Genomic DNA, 16,076 nt, shown 5'->3' with positions numbered 1-16,076 from the left:
CTTTATTCTTTTTTTTTATGGCCACACAACATTGCATTATTTGTAGGTGGAGTAACGTATTTAACCAGTCACTTATTGATGTACATTTAGGTTGTTTCCAGTCTTCCGTTCTTCATACAGCACTATAGTAAGCATCCTTACGCATATATCTTCACATGAAAATCTCTGTAGCATCAATCTTTACAAGTGAAATTTCTGTCAAAGGGTTGTATATGTCCATTGTCACACTGCTATAAAGAAATACCTAAGACTGCATAATTTATAAAGAAAACAGGTGTAATTGGCTCACAGTTCTGCAGGCCGTACAGGAAGCATGGCAGCTTCTGCTTCTGAGGAGGCCTCAGGAAGCTTCCAATCATGGTGGAAGGCAAAAGGGGAGTGAGGTGGCTCACACAGTGGGAGCAGCAAGGGAGAGAGCAGGGAGGTGCTACACACTTTTAAACAACCAGGTCTCATGAGAACTCACTCACTATCACGAGAACAGCACCAAGAGGATGGTCTGAAACCTTATTCAAGAGAAACCGCCCCCATGATCCAATCCTCTCCCACCTGGCCCCACCTCCAACATTAAGGATTACAATTAGACATGAGATTTGGGTGGAGACACAGATCCAAACTGTATCAGATTGCTACATTTGAAATGTTAATATATACTGGCAAATTGTTCTTAACAAAGGAAGTATCAATTTACACTTACAGTCCATCATTCTGGAATAGAACAAAACTTACTCCAGGTGTCAAACTACATCATAAAAAGTAGCAAAACCAGAGCAGGGGATGAGTGGGAAGATAGGTAGACAGTAACCAAAAAAAAAAAGAATTTAAGAGCATACAGACTATAAACTAACAGATGATGGAGGAATGGAGGAGGGAAAGGAGCACCTTGGTCCTTGACAAACAAATGGCAATGGCACCTAGTAAGAGGTCAGTGAGGAGGCCTCTAGATGCCAGCAAAATCCAACAAAGAGCGTCAGGTCAGAAACAAAATGCAACAGAGCCTCCATGGTGTCTGGATCTGGAATAAGTGATAACTGTCATGTTATTTAAGAAAAGTTTTTCCAATCCTCACATCAAGTATAGATATGCTAGGAAGAGAGTTAAGATGGCCACATTGTTATTATCTTGCAATAATTCAGAATGAGGGAATGAATGACGATTTGAGTAGTCTCAATAATTTCTTGATCCTTTTCTCTTTGTGCTTTGGAAATTCCCTATCACCAATTCCAAATCGTAAAAGGGAAACAGAAGCCTATCCCCAACATGTGAGGGTGGGGGAGAGGTGGCTGCGACCACTTCCACAGAGAGGATGCCTGGTGGCCACACAGCCTGCCACAGTTCGTGAAATCATCCCTAGGCTTCAGACATTTGGCATATTATTGACCTCCCTCCACTTTCTGTGTGTAGATGAATTTCAAATATCATTTCCAAAAGGAAAGCGATATAAATCCATACAACATGCACATCAAGGATGGCATGCTCAGCCCTTGCCACCTCAGGAAAGCCCCACTGACAGCTCATATTCGCAAGAGGGGACTTGTGACAGGTACTGTGCACAGAGGTAGTGTGCACGGTTCATCCTAACGACACCACCACAAGATAGTTGCTATTGTTACCTCGTTTTTTCCTACCAGGAAACAAAAACTGAAGTCATTTGCAGAGCTAGCTTATGAGCACTAGGCTGGAGTAACTGAAAGTGATGGATATCTCTTCATTTCTATAATAACTGTACACTAGAGACAACTGGAAGCTTCAAACACTATCACATAATAAGGGATTGAATATAATTTTAGCTTTTTAAGGTTTTATCCTGGGCTTCATATATTCCCCTAAATTCTCTTTTGAAAAATTATAATCTTAAGTAGTTTATACGTGGAACACTTCTAAAACATCAATTCCAGTAACATGAATAAGTAAGAAATGCGAAAATGAAAAATTCTCTTCCACAGGTGTGAAGGCAAAGCCACACTCCTTATCATCAAGCATTACCAGAAGCCTACAGGCTGGCTGGCAAGCCAGGTGAAGGGGCCCGCCTGCCAGATTATGTTCTTTAAGGATCCTCTACCGGCTCTTCTCTTTCTCCCTGTCCTTTAAGAATGGGGGCCCCTCAAGTGTCTGTACCCCAAGGACTCCATGTGGCCCCCTGCTTGGTGGTGATTCCCAAATCTCTACAGGAGGTCCTTAACTGCATCCTTAATGTTTGGACCTCTGGAGAGAGTGCCTTGCACTCATCGGGTCAAGAAATGACTCTCCCAAATGACCCCACAGACCTGTTCCTTCTCCCTTGGGCCCCCACCTCACCGAAGGAGAGCACCCAAATGAGATTGCTCAGAGCCACCCCACACAACTCATTATCTCTTCTACAATCTGTGCACGTCTGACACATCACCAAAGCCCAAATCATCACCCAGTCCATCCCCTTCCTCCTGATCCGATGGCAGACACCTGCACTGCGGTCAATGCTGCTGACTTCCTCAAATACAAGTGCTCAGAAAATGCCTCCCGAAGGCCTACAGAAGGAAGTTTAAGTCCCAGTCTGGGCTCAGAAGAGCTCTTCAGGCACCCTCCGGCCACCAGGTCAGCTTCTACAGGGCCGGCCCCAGGGTGTGGGGCAAAACCGTACTTCACCTGTTCAGCTGCTCGGGTCCCATGGGCCATGCGGCCACTGCTCCTCGGTGCCTTTCAGCCAGTCCAAGTGGATGCCCTTCCTCCTCCTTACTGTCCTCAAGATCCTGCTAGAAGTTAACCCTATCACCCTCCAAAACAACTACCTCAAACCAACCTCAAATGGGCTCCTCTTAAAGAACTTAGAATGCCATATATTAACTATTTGTGGTGTATCCCAAACTGGACACCATTTTTCTAAGACGGGGATGCTATCGTCTTGGATTCCCAAGGGCCCAGCAAGGATGGGTACTGGATAAAAGCCAGGTGAATGACTGAATGGTTTCTAGGAGCTTATACTTAGAATTAGACACAGCAACACAAAAACAAATGTATAAGGACAAACACATAAAACTGAACAAAACTTGGGCACACATCCAAGAATATTTATCATGTTAGCAGCTACTCTGCCTGGTAAATGTGCTACAGAACACATTTTGCTGTTTGTTACTGGCAGTCTTATGGCAAAAGGATGACTGCAAAATAATGCAGTAAAAATATACTGGAAATTAAGACTGCAGAGAGCATCAATAATGCCACCAGAAGCGGGGGTGGGGTGGGGATCAAGACATTTGATGCTTACCAAAAAACAGATCAGGAATAAAATATCCCACCTCCCAAAAAATGATGAGTTTGACAAAACCTGCAGATCAAACCACTAATTTATAGGAAATAAAAAGGTCCAAGCAACATGTTAAACCATTGCAAATCAATCAGGAAATCCCAGGCTGTGGGAATCTCTACTAGACAAATGTCCCAGTTTCAATAAATAAATGGCAACAGAAAAAAATGAAAAGTGAGAGGACGAGAAGGAGAGGAGATGGAGGAAAATCCTAGAAATGAAGAGTAATTAAAAGATAACAACAAATTGTTAACACTTTATTTGGATCCTGATTCAAACTACCCCACAATGTAAATTAAACAATAATATATATTCCATTTATGAGATTATTGGAAATTTGAATACTGGATAATTGATAGGAATAAATTATATTTTAATAGTGATAACTGTATTATGTCTCTTTTTTAAAGTTCTTTATCTTTTAAAGGCACATACTGAAATATTTACCAATGAAATGATACAACATCTGGGCCAGGCATGATGGCTCACACCTGTAATCTCAGTGCTTTGAGAGGCCAAGGCAGGCGGATCACGGCGTCAGGAGTTCGAGCCCAGCCTGGCCAACATGGTGAAACCCTGTCTCTACTAAAAATACAAAAAATTAGCCAGGCATGGTGGCAGTGCCTGTAATCCCAGCTACTCGGGAAGCTGAGGCAGGAGAATCACTTGAACCTGGGAGGCGAAGTTGCAGTGAGCCGAGACCTCACCACTGCACCCGAGCCTGGGCAACAGAGAGAGACTCCTTCTCAAAATAGTAACATCTGGAATTTACTTCAAAATAATAAAAGGGACAGGGGATACGGGGATGAGAAGGGGGAGACAGAGGTGAAACAAGATGAAGGTGGAGTGACGTGTGCCAGATTAATTACACCATTATCTACTTCTGTTTACATTTGGAAATTTCCTTTTAAAGGAAACTGAATGAAGTTAATGGTATGAAAGGCAACTTCATGAACCTAGAGTGGGGCTGAGACTGACTCTGGCTTTCATCTGAAAAACTATGCCTCCAACCTCCTCCCCTGTGAACATACATTAAGCATTAACCATAGAACTTTCAATCTTTCTGTTTCATAATGCCCCCACCTATTTTTAACATGTTTGCTGCACTATTAAATCCTAATGCTTAGCTATCCTAAACAAAACAAAACAAAACCCCTCCATGATCTTAACCAAATTAACCTTAACAATTTCATTTTTCCCCTAGGTTCCCAAAGTAAAACCTGCTCTTCTTGTTGACTCAGTGATCCTTGTTCAATCTTTTGATCTCAGCTGAAGGTGCCCTCCCAGCCTAAATCTCACACTCTGACTTTATCTTAACCCCACCTCTTAAAGGCCTGGTGTCCTATTTCACCAGCTCCAAGAAGCCTTATGCAGCCACAGATCTCTTCTAAGGACCTTGAATCTTTGAGTTCAGACAAACCCAAATTCAAATGCCAACTTCACTATTCATCAGCTGTATGACTCCAAACAGCTTAGTTTCCTATTCCACCAGCCATACTGGGTGGCAATGGCCTATGCAGACTACGAGTGCATCACATGTGCCTTCACTCCTCCTGCTTGTCTATCTCAGGCTCATGGTGCTCAAAGAACAGGGGTGGAATGGGTCTCTTGCATGTGCCATGATGAGTACTGTTCATTATCTGTTCAGAAGACTACTAAATCCCTTCAATTTTTCCCAGTCCACATCGATAGTTTCCCTTCCCCTCTGCTCCAAAAATCTTTTAGTTTAGATAAAAATCACATGTCTAAACTGCAAATGCTTTTTAACTGCAACTAATCCCAGAGGCCAATTAGAAGCTTAAAGCCATATTCCTTCTAATAAACTATATATATTATTAATGAGTCCAAAGAATATTCAGGATATTATTTATTTTCTATCAATTCAAAGGAATAATTATTTCCAGACTTTTTTAAAACCTTTTTATAATTTTCTTTTTTTTAGAGAAAGGGTCTCACTGTGGTGCCCAAGCTGGACTGCAGTGGCACAATCATAGCTCACTGTGACTCAAACTCCTGGGCTCAGTGGATCCTTTCTCCTAAGCCTCCTGAGTAGCTGGGACTACAGGTGTGTGGCACCATACCCAACAAAAAACCATTCTAGAAAAAGGACAGGCTTGTATAAGCTACTTCATGATGCTTTCTTACTGATAAGTCTCAGTCTTACTGACAAAGGACTCAACACTGCAAAACGCCTGCAATTCACAGAATGTCACCATGGCACAGGACACCCATGTAAACAAGGACCTGCAGTCCCTGGCTTCAGTATAGAGGAACCCTGAGGGGATATGGAAGAAAAGAACAGAGCAATACCAAGAGCAGCCATCTCCCCTAAGCTTAAGAAGCAAGAATCCTAGAGGCTGCTAATTTATATTCAAAACTTAAGACAAGCTTTTAAATTTGCCTTCTTTCGTAGGAAAGAAGTTTTCATAAGACTTCTTCCTAAACTAACAGTGGGCTCAGAATGAGAAAGGAAGCCACATGGTTGCCTAAAATTAATTTTCCTAAAATAATCAACATAATGATAGGCAAGACTAAAGACTAGTTAAGATTTTTAATAATGAATGTATTTTAATAAAGTCATAAAGGCAAATGAGCCACAGTAAATGTTCTGCTCTCTATACTTTTTGTAGGGAAAAAGTAATGTATCTAATAATTTTTAAAAATCTATACAACATCCAAGAATCTCAGCTCCCTATAACTTATTACCTAAATAATTCCTTTCCTCATCCATAAAACCAAGATACAGTAGCTCCCCACCACCCTTACCCACGGTTTCGCTGTCCATGATTTCAGTTACCCATGGTCAACTGTGGTTCAAAAATATTAAAGGGAAAAAATTCCAGAAATAAACAATTCACAATTTTAAATTGCCCGCCTGGATGTGACTCCTCCCTTTGTGAGGCAATCCACGTTGCAGGCGCTTCCCATCCACTGGTCACTTAGGAGCTGTTACCAGATCCAGTATCAGTGCTTGTGTTCAAATCACGCTAATTTTACTTCATAATGGCCCCAAGGCACCAGAATAGTGATGCTGGCAATCAGTCAGCCAAAGAGAAGCTGTAAACTACTTCCTTTAAGTGAAAAGTTCTTGACTTAATAAGCAAAGAAAAAAATAGCACATCCTGAGGTTGCTAAGATCTAGGGAAAGAATGAATCTTTTATCCTTGAAACTGTAAAGGAAAAAGAAATTTGTGCATAGTATGCACAGAGTTCAGTACTATCCACACTTTCAGGCATCCACTGGGGGTCTTGGAACTTATCCCATCCCCTGGCTGACAAGGGGGATGACTGTATAAGGGACCTGCTACTAAGATACAGGAACCTACCTTCTAAGGTTGTATTCATGATCATGACACACTGCCTTCAAGCAATTAGCACTGTGCCTGGTGCCATTTAAATGTTCACAGATGTCAGCTATTGTTATTTTTAAAAGCATATTTAAGAATGAGAATCAGTCTGGGCACCATAGATTATGCCTGTAATCCCAGCACTTTGGGAGGCTGAGGCAGGAAGATCGCCTGAGATCAGTTTAAGACCAGCCTGGCCAACGCGGTGAAACCTGTCTCTACAAAAATTAGCTGGGCATGGTGGCGCACACCTGTAACCCCAGCTACTTGGGAGGCTGAGGCATGAGAATCACTTGAACCTGGGAGAAGGCAGAGGATGCAGTGAGCCGAGATTGTACCACTGCACTCCAGCCTGGGCAACAGGGCAAGACTCTGTCTTTAAAAAAAAAAAAAAAAAGAGAATCAACTAATAGAACTTTATCCAGTGGCCATGATGCTGAGGACAGTGTTGGTAGTAACAGCAGCTGCTAATAATTCTACATCACACCATCTATCAGGTACTCTCCTAAGTGCTTTACTCATACAATAAACTCTTGATTTCCACACTGACCCCATAAAGTAAGTACTATTTTACTTATGAAGAAAATTAGGTTGAGTAACCTGCCAAGGTCACTCAGTTGGCAAGTGGTGGAGAAGGGATGGGAACCAAGATATTCTTTCTCTAGAGTGTGTGCACTTAACGATGCTCCCACCCACCAGATAAGGAGGCACTTCTGGACCCTACCTGACAGCTGACAATTCCCAACCGGAGGATGGGGTCCAGGAATCTGAATTTCCCAGATTTGTCTATAAATTTCGAGGACTGTTGATTAAATACAGTGTTATATTTTCATTAAATTATGATAATTAAGTGAGTCCTACAATGTGGGGTTTTGGATATTACTCCATTACCTAGCATCTGTAATAGGGCATTTTGCTGTAACATTAACAATGGCTAATTTCCCAGGTAGATACCTGTCCACCCACCCTTCACCTATCCTCCTTGGGCCAGGGATGGTCTTATTTGTCTTACTGTGGTTAAAGCAACAACTTGAGAAGATCATCATCAGCTTTTCAATGACATGGCCCTGCACTGGCATCTCACACTTGGAAGGCTGATTCTTGCTCCAAGAACCCAAGCCCCTTCTTCTCCCAACCAAGAAGCAGACTACTTCCGGCACACGAGCCACAGACCTGGAGGGCCACAGGAGGCCTTCAGAAACTAGCAACATCAGTTCTTCCTACCCCACACTGGGACCATAACTCATATCTAGGGCCTGAATTCTTGACCTGGAGTAGAAGGTCTTTGAACACTCCCCTGAGAATACAGCAACTCTGTGATGCATGTATTTGTCTGGGAGGAGAATCTGTAGCTTTTACCAGATTCTCAAAGACTCCAGAAAGATTAAAGGGTAAGAACAGAGATAATCAACAATGGGATTTACCAAAACTGAAAACATCATAATTTCATAGAGATGTTTTGAACCAGATTAGCTGCAAATAACCACATTCAACATTGTAATACTTTTCTAAATAACTGAAACACAAATAAAAATTACTTAAGAATTTGCAAATATGCCATTAGTATCTGAATTAAACATGCAATAAAAGCCCAGACTGCTTAAGTAACTCTAGTCTAAAGAGCTACCTAGGCCAGGCATGGTGACTCACCCTGTAATCCCAACACCTTGGGAGGCCGAGGCGGGCGGATCACTTAAGGTCAGGAGTTCGAGACCAGCCTGTTCAACATGGTGAAACCCCATCTCTACTAAAAATACAAAAAATAGCTGGGCACGGTGGCATGCACCTGTAACCCCAGCTACTTGGGAGGCTGAGACAGGAGAACTGCTTGAACCTGGGAGGCAAAGGTTGCAGTGAGCTGAGATTGCACCACTGCACTCCAGCCTGGACGACACAGCAAGACTCCATCTCCAAAAAAAAAAAAAAAAGGGCAACCTATACAGGACCCCTTACGTTATTATCCACACTCTTCACTTAGATGAATACCATGGGGGGTTGCAAGTGGCATGACAGTGACCTGCTGAGACAGAGCTCCTGAACCCGCGTGCTGGATAAAGAGGTACAGACCTTCTTTTTGCCAAAGAGAGTGAAGTAAAGTGCCAGAAAGATCCTGCCTCAAAAGCCTGTCTTGCCAATTCATCCCTAAAACTGCTGAGGGGGTTAATCTCAAAAGTTGTCTGATTTCTCTGTGAAATGCCTATGGAATGAAAGCTAAAATAACTGAAGGAAAGAAAAAGAAAAAAAAAGCTAGAGAAACAGAAGAAACAGCCAAAGACAATAAAAGATAAAGAAGATTCTGTTGTTTTGCATTGTATCAATAATGCTTTCAAAATGCAAGAAGCACAAGGATTCTGCTGAATTTTTTTTACAAATATGTATTACTTTTTGAACTTTTTACAAGATGTTAAAATGGATCATTTGATCTACTAAATTATCTCTTCCCCACTCTAAGAGTACAGACTTTCAGAAAAACAATATACTAAAAAGAACTTAGCATCCAATTAGTATCAACTTTACCAATCTTCTACGAAAGTAGACAGGCCACAGGCATCCCCCTTCTCCAAGAAATAGCAGAAAATGTGAATTTTTTAGAGATTCCCTTACATTTTGTGTGTGTGTGTGTGTGTGTGTGTGTGTGTGTGTGTGTGTGTGTGTGTGTGTGTTTTCCCATCAAGTGCTATTACTGTAGAAGACTTTTTACCTTTTAAACAGTCAAATTTCCATTTGGGAAAAAACATAAAGATGACTCCAGAAATCTGAAATTATCATCAATTACATCAAAATTAAATTAAAATAAAATTTATTTATTTACCCACTTTATTTATTTCTTTAGTCACTTTATGTTAAACACCTCCAACTTTCCAAGGAGGGCAAGCTATATATTCATCCCACTTTATGTTAAAATGAACACCTCCAACTTTCCAAGCAAGGTGACTAATATATTCATCCTGAAGTTAATCCCCCACTGCTCTTCCATAAGGAAAGCAGACATGAGAACTACTGCTTTCAAGCAAGGAAGATACACCAAATATTTGGCAACTGGTAAAACAGTGGGGTCCAGGGTCCTGGAGTCCCCCTGCTAATTAATTAATTAATTACTGCCTGTAATCCCTCAGCTACTCAGGAGGCTGAGGCAGGAGAATCACTTGAACCTGGGAGGCGGAGGTTGTGGTGAGCTGAGATTGCACCACTGCCCTCCAGCCTGGGCAACGAGAGTGAAACTCTGTCAAAAAAAAAAAAGAAAAGAAAAGAACAAGAAAAAGAGAAAGAAAAGAAAACCACAGCTGTATACATACCAAAGGGCCTTCCCTGCCCGACTTCCTGACACCATCTTCTTCTGTCTCCCTAGGCTAATGCAAAGAGACATAAACCCATTCCTCTCCCAAAAGCCTAGCACTTTGGGGAAAATCAATCAGTGACCTAAGCTGGTTCTGTTCTTTCTTTTGCAGAAAAAAAGAAAAAGGTGACCACTGCCCACATTAGCAAATGCTAAAAATAATGCTACATTTCAAACATCTGAAGATAATCTTCCTCTGGAATACAATATACATAGAGCTTGTTACTCTAATTAAAAATTTTAAAAATCAAAGAAACTGATGAAGAAAGAACTTTATGTATAAATTATGTTTTATTTCATTTTTCATAGTTTAACATATTGAAATGAGCATGTTAAAGACAAATGAAAGCAGCTGAGAGTAGCAAAAAAACAATCCAGGAAAAAAATAATTCCCCAATTTCCCTTGTGTCAGAATATAAATATCAAGGAAAGAGAATTAGTGAATATATAATGAGCCTCGATGATACTTTTAACTGCACACTGCATTCTCTTCCCAACTTCATCCCTCAATACCAATGGGGGCAGGAGCAGGGTATCAGAGAGGAAGACAGATGGGCTGTCAGGCCCAGGGAGCTGAAGGGGAGGGAGGTGAAGGGGTGCAATGAGGAGGCTTGCTCGGAGAGCGCCAGTTCTACCCAACTTTCTGGTTTAGAAGAGCAGGCTTCTTCTTCCACTGGCTGCTGAGTCTGGGGAACTAGGACTAAAAACTAGAGAACAAGGCAATGTCCACTCATGCGTGAAGACATCTGGTTCAATTCCATAAATCCTCCTCTGGCGGGAGAGAGGGATCACCCACCTACAGTTAGTTATAGCAGTGTTAGGATCAGAGAAGGAGGTGAAGCTTAATTGCTCTTTAGACTAAACCCTCCTCTTAAGGTGTTTGAAGTTTTTCTTTAGCCTTTGATGAAATATATCATTCATTCATTCATTTAAAGAGCCAAGGTCTCACTCTGTGACCCAGGCTGGAGTGCAGTGGTGCGATCAGAGCTCACTGCAGCCTTGAACTCCTGGGCTCAGGGATCCTCCTGCCTCAGCCTCCTGAGCAGCTGGAGCTACAGATGTCCGCTAACACGCCCAACTAAGAAATACATCTTCAACAATCTAAGGTTTTCCTCTCCTGCCTCCATGGTAGACAGTCATGCCCAGCTGATGTGATCTCCTCCACATTTCAGTTAAACTGGGCTAAGCAGCTGCCCAACAGTGTCTGAGATGCTTCAAACCAGGACACAGCTGGCCACACACTCCAGGCCTGCCTGGCTTCCTGGCTACTCTTCTCAGGAGGAGCCTTCCATCCCCTTTCTAAAATTAGTATTGAAAATATTATTACTATATAATTCCTCACTTCCTGGTTTTAATTCTGGTACTAGAAAGAAAAAAAAAACTTAAAATATATGTTAAATATGAAAATGAATACATAGCATTATCAAATTATGATCCAATGCAATTAAATTCCCAATTATACTTCAAAACATATTAAAAAAACACTGAAAGTTTTCCATTAAAAGCCAAAAATGCTTCGATACTAGAAGTGATGTGTATAAAATCTGAGGATTTTTCTCTTGCTTTCTTCTGCTACTATTAAGGAAAAGCAAAGGCCCAGGCAGACATAGTTGCAACTAACTACAGATTCACCCTGATTTCTACAGCAATTAAGAAAACCAAATTCATACCAAAAGACATTCTAACATTCTCAAAATGTTATTTTTCTTCATTCTTCAATGGGTCTTTTTTTCTACTTTTTTTATTTTAAGAAGCTTTCAGGAATAACGCCACCAAAACACACAATAAACTGAAACTGTTAACGCAGCAAATTACACCTATATTCAAAACGAGTGCTGAGCTTTTACTATACTAGTTTTTCCCCCAAGGGAGAAAAAGGGAACAGAGAGAGGAAGGTCACTAGTCCTCATTCCCATCCTCCTGGCATCAGTCATCCTGCCAGAGCGAGCGCAGGCAGGCTGGTGGCTCCTGCAGCCTATCTAACCCCACCTCTGTGCTCCCAAAACCGGCCCCAACACAAGGTTAGAAGCCCCAAGTCAACAATCAGAGTCTAGGAATAGGCCTTGCTCAGCCACTAAGTGACCCAGAAGTTGTCTCCTCGGATGCTTACAAGCTCTTCAAACTTAAAAGGAAATCTCCCTCAGCAATGGTTCAAAGCCTGAGACAACTGTAGCAAGAAGAAAGAAAAAGATTCAAAATTCAAACATAACCCAAGTCTTCACTAATAATATCCTTTAAAACAAAGAATAACATTAACTATATTCTGGTTTTTACTGAGTTAATAGACTGTGTTAATATCCAAAAACTAAGCAATTAATGGCAACAAACTATATATGTCCTTGTTTTTTTGCTCTTATAATAAAATCTTAAAATAAGTGAAATGAACACTTCAGTGGCTTTCCACAGGCCTTGTAAGGTTAATTTTCCCCCAAAATCTGCAGGATTGGCTTATAAATTAAATTTTGGTCTTATTTCTATATAAGAAACAGATTTGCATAATATAAATAACAACAATATAAGGAACTGTTTACCCCACAATGGATCACAGCCTCTGTCCCTAATGTGACTTCTGTGTTCCTTCAATGACTTGAGTGGCATGCTGTTACAAGCTTTAAATCAAAAATATATTTCACTATGTTTTTAGCTTTAAAAAAAGTATTTTTTCTAAGTTAAGCTCCTTTGAAAGATTTTGCTTACTATGTGGATTATGATGGATATTTTATGTTAAAAAATTGAAACCTATTTTACCCCCATGTTCCAGTACTATTTTGTTCTTTTCCAAATGATTGCCCATGTGCCAAGTACTTCCAGTTCACGGCATCTCTTTTAAAAATTGCTGACCAAAAAGATGTCTGAAGAAAGATATTTTAGAAAATATCATTTAAACACCCATCTACCTACTCTCATAAAAGTAGACTCAGATTTCCACTTGGTCCAACTACCAAGTGATCTACTGCTAGAAGTTAACTGCTAAACTAGTACTATTTTCTGTTTTAAATGATATTGAACAATAAATAACCTCATTTCATTTTTAATCACTGAGGCAAAGGCAATATAAATCACCAGTTCCCACCATAATTAATATGCTCCATCTAAATGACCTTGACTGTTAACTGACCTCATTGTCTACTTCAGTATCTCTCAGGAATGGGCATCCCCTCTATTTTCACTAACAAGGAACTGGCCCTATCCCAGGATCACTTCTTCTCTCACCAGCAAAGTCTTCCTCATTCTTCCAGACTTCCTCTGAGACACTTTTATCAACATCTTCTCCTAAGCCTCACAACACTAGAATCACAGCTTGAAACACACCCCTCCCACGGCACCGTCAACCCTCCTGTTCAACTAGGGGCTCCTTTAGGTCAGCAACAACGTCTGACTCAACACTAGATTCCCACATGCAAAACAGTCCCAAGCCCAAAGGGGCTCATAAAATGGTTTATGTTTTGCTTGTCCAACAGACCCTGAGGTAAATAAGTACACTTTCATAATACCCATTATTTCTCTTAAGAATCCGAAACAACTATATCAACTTGAAGAGAAACTATACGTATAAAAGCCAAGTTTGAAATTATGTTGCTGCTTTACACTAAGGTTTTTTAAAAAGATCCATACTCTCTAAAAAAAAAATGGTGACTTCTTAAATAGGGTTACTTGCTACAACTCTTCTCTAAGAAAAGAAAAAGGTTTTTCTGGCTATGAGGGCACAACAGTGTCCCTTAAAGCCATGAAAACAGACAGGGTTGTGCGAGGATGCCAACTGTTCCAGACCAGCAGAAGACCTCGGTCACAAGAAAGGGTACTGACAGACAGCCCCCTGTCTGCGGCCAGGCAACTCTCTTTGAGTTACCTGATTGTTGGAACACTGGCCTTGACACTTAACACACAACATCTGCCAGGAGACGATGGGTGAAGGTTCCTGGAGAAATGTGTGCCTTAACAGGAAAGGAGGTCTCTTCCAGTATCTTAGGAGAGTAAGTCTGAAGCAGAACAGGAGTCAGAGGTAAAAGGAAAACGATTCTGAGTCTAAAGGTACTAGGAGGAGAGAGAAAGGTCATGAGAGCTTGCTAAGAGGGGACCGGGAAGCAGACCTGCATGTGATGCATCGAGACCTGACAACGGGGAAACATAAGGCAAGCAGAAACGTTAGAGCAAAACAAAACAAAAACTAAACCACAGCATTGAAGGAGCTTTCCCCTTCTATATAAAAGTATTAAATCTCGGTTAATGAAGTCTGAGGAAGTAAGCTAGGATGTAAAAATACTTTAAAATGGAAGCAACTTCTTCAAATAGCTTTTTTTAAAGGCCATAAAAATAGATGCTTTTTAAAAGAAGGAAATGACGAGTGTTGGGTAAATAAGATGTCTGATGAACGCACAGTGTGAACCTCTGATGTCCTAGTTATCCTCTATCTACAACAGGAAGAATAAACCAGACCTACTCACTCCAGTTCTAATTCTGCCCCCTAAAAAGAGCAGCAGAGACAAGAAATGGTAATGGTAACAAAAATGTAAACAACAAGAAGTTGTGGAATTCATGGAGCCGCAGTGTCAGCAGTAAATCAAAAAAAATTACCAATGTCCAACTGTGTACTTCTTCCTGATACAATCGAATTTCCACGATCTGTTCCATCATTGTAACACATCACCTAGATCCATCCTAATTCCAAATTCTGTGAGGGCTCTTTAATTCTGTCGGTGCTCAGAAAACAGTTAAATCCTCACTAAAAATAAAACTTAAAATAAGAACCACTGGAAAATATATATTAAAATGTAGGAAAGTGAGCTGGGGGGGTGGGGCGCGTAATTTGTTAAAAAACCTTCTAGAGAGGAATTTGGTTAAAAAAGAGGTGGGGCTTTTTTTTTTTTGAGACGGAGTCTTGCTGTGTCCACCCAGACTGGAGTGCAGTGGTGCAATCTTGGCTCATTACAACCTCTGCCTCCCAGGTTCAAGTGATCCCCCTGCCTCAGCCTCCCAAGTAGCTGCAACTACAGGTATGCACCACCACATCTAGCTAATTTTTGTATTTTTAGTAGAGACAGGGTTTCACCATGTTGGCCAGGCTAGTCTTGAACGCCTGGCCTCAAGTGATCTGCCCGCCTGGGCCTCCCAAAGTGCTGGGATTTCAGGCATGAGCCACTGAGCCCGCCCAAAACCAAATCTTTAAAATGTGCTTTTTTTTTTTTTAATTTTTTTTGAGACAGAGTCTTGCTCTGTCACCGAGGCTGCAGTGCAGTGGCACGATCTCAGCTCACTGCGACCTCTGCCTCCTGGGTTCAAGCGATTCTCCTCCCTCAGCCTCCTGAGTAGCTGAGACTACAGGCATGCGCGACCACACCTGTCTAATTTTTTATATTTTTAGTAGAGACAGGGTTTCACCATGTTGGCCAGGCTGGTCTCGAACTTCTGACCTCAGGTGATCCACCCACCTCAGCTTCCCAAAGGGCTGGGATTACAGGCATGAGCCACTGCGCCTGGCCTAAAATGTGCCTGTTCTTTTGCCCAGCAATTCTATCAAAGAAGAAAGCCTGTTTGCTCACATACATGCATCTATACTGCACAAAGGAACCAGCTATAAAAGCATTCCACAAAGCACTATCTGCAATTCCAAAAGAAATCACAAAATTTAAATACCCAGCAGTAAACATTTACCTTCTTCAACACTGTAAAGTATGTTTTACTATGTTTCAGCAAATAAAAAAGATTTTTTGAATGATTAAATCAACAATTTTCACCATGTTTACTAAGTTTCTACTTTGTGCAGGCATTGACCTAGGTGCTGGGGACATAATGACAAAACAAAGTCCTTCCACTCATAAATCTTATTTTCTTAAGGTGAAACCACACACATTATTTGGAAAAAAAGAAAAAAAAAGTGGGCTTGATAGAGAAGAGCCAAAGATTTCAAAGGGTCAGAAAGGATGGATTGACATACATATTGTTGGGATGGGGGAAAATATAGACAGGGCAGGTTTGTGGATAAAGGGCTGGGTGGCCAGAGGCCCGCTTTGGATATGTTGATTTTCCAAAGCCTGTTGGGCATTCAAATTAGTGATTACCTGCAGGAGCTGGACATACATAGATGTAGAAAGGACAAGACAGATCCAAG

The 16,076-nt window shown here is 41.2% G+C and overlaps 1 protein-coding gene across 36 annotated transcripts in view, besides 1 other annotated feature; it reads right to left on the bottom strand.

The window, feature by feature from the left end:
• Positions 1-16,076, bottom strand: part of ARID1B (AT-rich interaction domain 1B) — a 434,754-nt gene that overhangs the window by 280,048 nt on the left and 138,630 nt on the right. The gene's annotated exons all lie outside the window — the stretch shown is intronic.
• Positions 13,218-13,277: an enhancer, noted in NCBI's record as "active region_25321". NCBI's record gives its function as "activates an Ori minimal core promoter by ATAC-STARR-seq in GM12878 lymphoblastoid cells {active_cell/tissue: GM12878}" and the evidence as "EXISTENCE:reporter gene assay evidence [ECO:0000049][PMID:35858748]".

Source organism: Homo sapiens, chromosome 6 (assembly GCF_000001405.40).
Source record: "Homo sapiens chromosome 6, GRCh38.p14 Primary Assembly".
Lineage (NCBI taxonomy): Eukaryota > Metazoa > Chordata > Mammalia > Primates > Hominidae > Homo > Homo sapiens.
This window is presented reverse-complemented; position numbering and strand designations above follow the sequence as displayed.